This window comes from Homo sapiens, chromosome 4, assembly GCF_000001405.40.
Source record: "Homo sapiens chromosome 4, GRCh38.p14 Primary Assembly".
Taxonomy (NCBI): domain Eukaryota; kingdom Metazoa; phylum Chordata; class Mammalia; order Primates; family Hominidae; genus Homo; species Homo sapiens.
Genome location: NC_000004.12, coordinates 100,745,277 through 100,753,465, shown reverse-complemented (window position 1 = coordinate 100,753,465; position 8,189 = coordinate 100,745,277).

Genomic DNA, 8,189 nt, shown 5'->3' with positions numbered 1-8,189 from the left:
TTTCTAAATCTAGTTCTCTTACAATTTCCATCACATCTGCAGTTACTTCCGCCACTAAAGTCTTGAATCCCTCTAAGTCATCCATGAAGGTAGGAATCAACTTCTTTCCAACTCCTGTTAGTGTTGATGTTTTGACCTCCTCCCATGAATGACAAATGTTCTTATGGGAATCTGAAATGGTGAATCTTTTCCAGAATATTTTTAATTTACTTTATACAGATTCATCAGAAAACATCATTCCCTATTGCAGCAAAAGCCTTACAAAATGTATTTCTTAAATAATAAGACCTGAAAGTTTAAATTACTCCTTGATCTATGAGCTGCAGAGTGGTGTCGTGTTAGCAGGCACAAAAACATTAATATTTCATATCTTCATCAGAGCTGTCAATGATCAGTAATATTTTGAAAGCAATCTGTTTTTTTCCTAGGCAGTAGGTCTCAACAGTGGGCTTAAAATATTCAGTAAACCGTACTGCAAATAGATGTGCTATCATCCAGGCCTTGTTGTTTATGTATAGAGCACAAGCAGAGTTGATACAGCATAATTCTTAAGGGCCCTTTAATTTTCAAAATGGTAAGTTAGCATTGGCTTCAACTTAAAGTTGCCAGCTGCGTTAGTCCCTAATAAGGGAGTCAGCCTGTCCTTTAATGCTTTGAAGCCCTACATTGACTTCTCTAGGTATAAAAGTCCTAGATGGCATCTTCTTCCAATAGAAGACTGCTTCATCTCCACTGAAAATCTGTTGCTTAGTGTAGCCACCTTCATTAATTAGCCTAGCTAGGTCTTTTGTATAATTTGCTGCAGCTTCTCTTTCAGTATTTGCTGCATCACCTTGTGTTTTTATGTTATGGACAGAGATTTTTTCCTTAAATCTCATGAACTAACCTCTGCTAGCTTCCAACTTTTTTTCCTGCAGCTTCCTCACCTCTCTCAACTTTCATAGAATTGAACAGGGTTAGGACCTAGATATTGATTAGGCTTTGGCTTAAAGGAATGTTGTGCCTGGTGTAATCTTCTATCCAGACTGCTCACACTTTCTCCATATCAGCAATACAGCTGTTTTGCATTCTTATCATGTGTGTGTTCACTGCAGTAGCACTTTTTATTTCATTCAAGAACTTTTCCCTTGCTTTTACAACTTGGATAACTATTTGGCACAAGAGGTCTTGCTTTCAGCCTATCTGAGCTTTCAACATGCCTTCCTAACTAAGCTTAAGTATTTCTAGCTTGAGATTAAAAGTGAGAAATGTGCAACTCTTTTTTCACTTGAACACTGAGAGGCTGTTGTAGGATTATGAATTGGTGTAATTTCAATATGGTTGTCTTTAGAAAATAGGGAGGGCTAAAGGGAGAGAGAGAGACAGTGAAATGGCTTGTCATTGAAGCAGTCAGAACACACACAACATTTAATGATTAAGTTTGCCTTCTGGGTGTTCCAAAACAATTTTGAGAGTAATATCAAAGATTGCTGCTCATAGGTCACCATTATAGATATAATCATAATGAAAATGTTTGAAATATTGGGAGAATTGTCAAAACATTCCATAGAGACACAAAGTGAGCACATAATGTTGGAAAAATGGTACCAATAGACTTTCTCAACACAGCGTTGCCATAAACCTTCAATTTCTAAAAATGTGTAATATCTGTGAAGCACAATAATGCAAAGGGCAATAAAACAAGGTATGCCTATATGTGTCTCTGTGGTTAAAATGGGTTTCTTGTACACAATATATAATTGGATCTTATTTTTTATTTAACTATAACAATCTCTGCCTTTTAATTGGTGCATTTAGACCCTTGATGTTTAAAGTGATTACTGATGCAGTGTGCTTAATGTCACGTAGTTGTTACTGCTTTCTATTTGTTGTCCTTGTTCGTTGTTCCTATTTTGTCTTCTATTCTTTTTTCATTTTGTGTTTTTCATTGAGCATTTTATAAAATTTAATTTTCTCTCTTTTCTTAGCATATCACTTGTACCTTAAAAAAAATTTTTTTAGTAGTCGCCCCAGAGTTTGCAATATACATTTACAACTAATCTAAGTCCACTTGTCCACTTTCAAATAACACTATATGGCTTTACAGGTAGTGTGATTTCCTCATAATAACAAAATAATTCCAATTTTTCCCACCATCCCTTTTATAATCAATGTCATTCATTTTGGTAAAATGCCAGCATGCACAAGAATATATATGTATATATATACACCCACATAAACATATACAATTAAATGCAATGTTGCTATTATTATTTTGAACAAATTGTTATGTGAGATCAATTAATAGGAAAAATAAAGGTTTCATTTTACCTCCATTTATCCCTTTTCCATTGCTCTTCCTTTATGTAGATCTAAGTTTCTAACTTATTTTATTTTCCTTCTCTCTAAAGAACTTCTTTTAACATTTATTTCAAGACAATTTTTGTTATCTGGGTAAATCTTTATTTCTACTTTACTTTTGAGGGTTAACTTAGCAGTGTACAGAATCTAGGTTGATGGGTTTTTCTCTCAAAACTTTAAATATTTCACACCACTCTCTTCTTACTTACATGGTTTCTGAGAAGTTCAATGTCATGCTTTGCCTTTCTATGCATAAAGTATTATTTTCCTCTGCCTTTTTTCAGGATTTTAAAAATCTTTGTTTTACTGTACTTTGGAAATGATATACTAGTTGTCGTTTCTCTGGCATTTATCCTCCTGATGTTCTTTGATCTTCCTAGATCTTTGGGTTGGTGCCTGGCATTAATTTGGCAAATTCTGCGTCATTATTGTTTAAAATATTTCCCTTGTTCCTTGATCTCTTTTCCCCCCCATTTTGGTGTTTTCATTACACATATGTTACACCTTTTGTAGCTGTCTCACAGGTCTTGGATACTGTCTTCTGGTTTTCTTTACAGACTTTTTTCTCTTAGTTTTTCTTTTTTGGAGGTTTCTATGGAAATACCTTTAATTAAGCTCAGAGATTCTTTCCTCAGCTGTTTCCAGGCTACTAATAAGCCCATAAAAGCATTCTTCATTCCTGTGACAGTGTTTTGAGGGCAGCCATAGTCAAAGACACAATTGACAAGGAAATTTGTTACCTCTGTGGCACACAATAATTTAACATAATAATTATAATTATTACTGATAAGGTACACTAAATTATATTAGAATTATAGGAGTTTCCATGATTTTGCAACACATACAAATAACATTTACACAAATACAGCCCAGGCCAGGTGTGGTGGCTCATGCCTGTAATCCCAGCACTTTGGGAGGCCAAGATAGGCAGATCACCTGAAGTCAGAATTTCGAGACCTGCCTGACCAACATGGCAACCCCTCGTCTCTACTAAAAATACAAAAATTAGCAAGGCATGGTGGTGTGTGCCTACAGTCGCTGAGGTATGAGAATCATTTGAACCCGATGGGGCGAAGGCTGCAGTGAGCCAAGATTGCACCACTGCATTCCAGCCTGGGTGACAGAGCAAGACTTTGTCTCAAAAAACAAACAAACAAAGAGACAAACAAACAAATACAGCCCAAAGAAAACCAAACACCATTTCATATTTGACAATGCTTCCTATATAATTTCTGTACCAACTAAGTCAAATGATATCATTTTTGGACCTTAGGGAAACTAATATTTTAAAGGATTAATTAGGTCAGAAAAAGACACTATTTATAATTTGATTTTAATTATTAATTGGCTCTGAAAAGTTTGTCAAATATTAAAGATTTAAAACACTTGATATTACAGCTCATTGTATAAGTCATTCATTTGACCAAAGTGGTAACTCAAGAATTTCAAAAAAAGTCAAAAACCTTCATTCTTTGAGAACAGACTTAATTTTCTAAACAATAAGCCCTAATAAAAACAGCATTAATCCAATTAAATTTGTTTTTCAAAATTTTATAAACACTCTATAAAATTTTAATCTTGACCATAAGATATAACTTCCATAAACCTTTTATAAACTTTATAACATTTATTAAAGAGTCAGTTAATGCTTCAAGAAAACCTTGTTAATCTGACACAGGGGCCCATATGTTGGTCTTGCACTAGTGTGCTTTTGATATTAATAATTAATTTATAGAGAGACTGAACTTATTTTATCTCTTAAAATTGCCCCTCACAATATTACACACCCACCTCTTCCATGATAGTCACTGGGCCTTGAGGAGTTGAATAGCTTTAATTTCTAGCTCTGTGTCTCAGGAATGCAGTTTGTTTTGACTGGCATCTTCTACCAGGCCTGAAGATTGGGCTTTAGTTGCTATTTGTGTTTAAAATTTAGCAGGACTTGGTGTCCTTTTAGACTGAGGAGTCAAAGCCCTGTAACTCAAGGTCACAAGTACTTTAAAAGCACATATATAGAGAGACACATGAATGTAATAGCCTTATTTTTAAAAACTTTTAATCCAAGTTTTTTTTTCCTAAGCAAACCAAAACCTAATAATAATATGACAACTTGATCATATAAATTTTTTTATGTATATCCTGCTATTGTAACTTACGTAGACCATTCATGACATGGTTGGAGTTTCTCATTTGTCCTGAAGATTCCTCTTTTTTAAACAACCAGTCATTGTATTCTGGGATTAAATTTACCATACAAGATCATTTCTCATATAAAATTATTTCTCTTTAAGTTTTCTTATCAAAAACCTTTTAATTTTTATAACTTTCTTTACATCTCTCTTATTTCCTGGTTCCTTTAATTTTGTTTTATACATAACCTTTAAATAAGCTTTGAATTAGACAAAAATTGTCCACTCTTTTAGAAAGGACACACCTTTTTTTTTTAAGAAAGAATGATTTCCTACAAATATATTTTTATTGGAAAATACCCAAATAATGAAATATTTACTTAATTTAATATAACTTTAGATTCTAAATTATGATGAGTTTGTCTACAAGTATTTATCCTATTACATTTATCTAATTATTTTATTTTAATTGTTTACCTAGATTATTTTTGAGAACCACAGTAGTCATCATTTAAAGTTATAGAACCGTCATTGCAAAATTATAACTGAGACAGTGAAAAAGATTTGACCTAACTGACTCCATCTTGCTTTTAACCTCCAAGCTGTCCCTGATCATTCTTGAGCATAGGCCAAACTAATTTTGGGAAGAACTTATAGTTTAGCTTTGAAACAAAGACAATAACAAACCTTTCTGTCTGTGGACTAGACTGCTTAAAGCCACAAGATTAGAAGTTATGGTAATCTTACTAAGTTTAAGATGTAGCTGTTTTTATTGAACCATTATCAATGTCTTATTTATTAAAGATTGCACAAGCAAAGATCATTCTGTTTTGGGCTGGGTTTATAGTTTTGCAACCCCTATGCCAAATTTTGACACTTCATAGTATTTGGCAGGGATAAGTATGAAATTGCTTGATTAATAAATGCAAACAAAAATGTATGCTGGCAAATTGATATTGATACATGAAGTTATGATCCTATCATGAGGTTTTTAGCTGGTTGCTTTGTAGTTTCTATTGCATGATTGCTTTCGGAGTCTATGGGCTATGTACTTACATGTGTTTTTGTGGTAGCATGTATTGTTCTTTTGAGTCCATTTTAAAACTCCATTAAGGATCTCTTGGAGGCTGGTCTGGTGGTAACTAATTCTCTTAGTGCTTGGCTGTCTGGAAAAGATTTTATTTCTTCTTCACTTATGAAGCTTACTTGGATGGGATATGAAATTCTTGGTTGGGATTTCTATTTATTTATTTATTTATTTATTTATTTTTATTATACTTTAAGTTTTAGGGTACATGTGCACAATGTGCAGGTTAGTTACATATGTATACAAAATGTTGTAAATTTGTCCCCAATCTCTCCTGGCTCATAGGGTTTCTGCTAAGAAGTCTGCTATTAACCTGATGGGTGTTTCTTTTGTTTTTGATTTGACCTTTTTATCTAGCTGCCTGTAAGATTTTTTCTTTAGCTTTGGCCTTGGATGGTCTGGTGACTATAAGGCTTGGTGATATTTATTTTGTATGATATCCCCCAGGTGTTCTCTGGATTTGTTTTATCTGGATGTCTACATCTCTAGCAAGATTAGGGAAGTTTTCTTGAACCATTTTCTCCAATATATTTTCCAGGTTGTTTACTTTTTCTCATTCTTCCCCAAGAATGTCAATAATTTGTTGGTTTGGTCACTTTACATTATGCTAATTTTCTCAAAGACTTTGATTAGTTTTAAAAATTAATTTTCTCTATTTTTGTCTGACAGGGCAAGTTCAAAAGGCAGGTCTTTAAGGTCTGAAATACTTTCTTCTGCTTGATCCAGTCTATTGATTATGCTTTCAATTGTATTTTGAAATTCCTTAAGTAAGTTTTATAATTGCAGAAGCTCCGATTGATTTCTTTTTAAGATGTTTATCTTGTCCTTCATTTCCGGGATTTCTTTGGAAGTTTTTCTTTGTGTTGATTTCCAACCTTATCTTGGATCTCATTGAGCTTCTTTGCAATCCATGCTTTGAATTCTTCCTTTGTCATTTCTGAGTTTTCTTTTTGGTTTAGGGACTATTGCTGGAGAACTAATGTGATCTTCTGATCGTGTCATAACTTTCAGATTTTTCATGGTAGCAGAATTTTTTCACTGGTTTCTTCTCATTTGGCAATACTGGCACTACTAATTTTTGTAGTTATTTTCATGCAAACATGATTTTTTTATTTCTTTCTTTATATTGGTATTTTTTTTTCTTTCTTTCCCTTAACTTCCTCCCTAGGGGAAGTGACTGTAGAGTATGCTGGGCAGGGTCTTTTGACTTTGCTTTTACAGCTTTATATACTTCTGTCAGTATGTTTTACACAGGGCCTTGCAGTTTTATGTACAGATCAGTAGATGATGGTTATGGGTAAGAGTCATCTGTGGCTAACACAGCTGAGTATATACATAAAATCTTGTTTACTGGGAGGAACTCTCTGTTGCTTCAGGCAATTGGCTGATCCATGAATTGCACAGAGGTCTGGATTCCCTGCTCAGCCCCATTGGGAAGGCCAAGATGAGTGGCACTAGACTGGGCAGGCCTGACTCTAGGTTTGCCAATTATTGGCACAAGCACTAGCCCAGTGAGGGTATCCAGCACATGGCCACCAAGTGCCCAGAGGTCTGCCTAGGCATGGATCTGGGAAATCTTCTTGTCCTCAAGTCTCTGCACCAGGCAAGGGGGTGGCCTAAACTCCAAATCTGGGAAAGTGGGTGCTCCAAATACCTGGTGATCTGCTTGATCTTGGAGCAGAATGGGGCCCCCTGCACCACAATCTCTGTGTAGGAAGTATGTTGCAGCTCATGCTGCTGATCTTGGTGAAAAGATGCTCCAACTGCCTGGCGATCTGCATGAGTATGGGGCAGAGAGGGCCCTGCTACATCATGGTCTATGTGCAGGAAGCGTGAAGTGGCTCAGGCTGCTGATCCAGGTAAGTGAGTTCTCCAACCGCCTGATGATCTGCCTGGGCATGGAGCAGAAAGCACCCCATTGCCCCATGATCTCAGGGGAGAAGGCTGTGGCATCTAGCAATGATACTTGCAGACTGGTTCTAGGTCTCCAAGCTGGCTCTGCCTGGAAGTCTCATTGTCCTGGATAAACTGCATACAGAAAGTTTTATTAAATAGTGTAGGCTCTAGATAATCCAACTGACATGTTTATGAACAATAATATATGATAACAATCTTTTTTTCGAAACGGAGTCTCGCTCTGTCACCTAGGCTGGAGTGCAGTGGCACAATCTTGGCTCACTGAAACTTCTGCCTCCCAGGTTCAAGCGATCCTCCTGTTTCAGCCTCCCGAGTAGCTGGGACTACAGGCATGCGCCACCATGCCCAGCTAATTTTTGTATTTTTAGTAGAGGCAGGGTTTCACCATGTTGGTCAAGCTGGTCTCAAACTCAATCTTAAGTAAGGGACATAGAGTAGCAGTTCTGCTCTGTGATGTTGGGAATGTTCTATATCTTTACTGTTCAATAGAATTTTGTGAAATAATGTGCATGCTTTATATCTGCACTGTCCAATATGGTAACCACTAACTGCATGTGGCTATTGAATGTTTAAAATAGGTTTAGTGTTACTAAGGAACTAAATTTTTATTTTTATTTAATTTTAAATAATTTAACATAAATAATGATAGGTGGCTAGTGACTACCATGTTAGTAAGTACAGTTCAGTATTTTGTTTTAAAAGCAGAGAAGTATTGA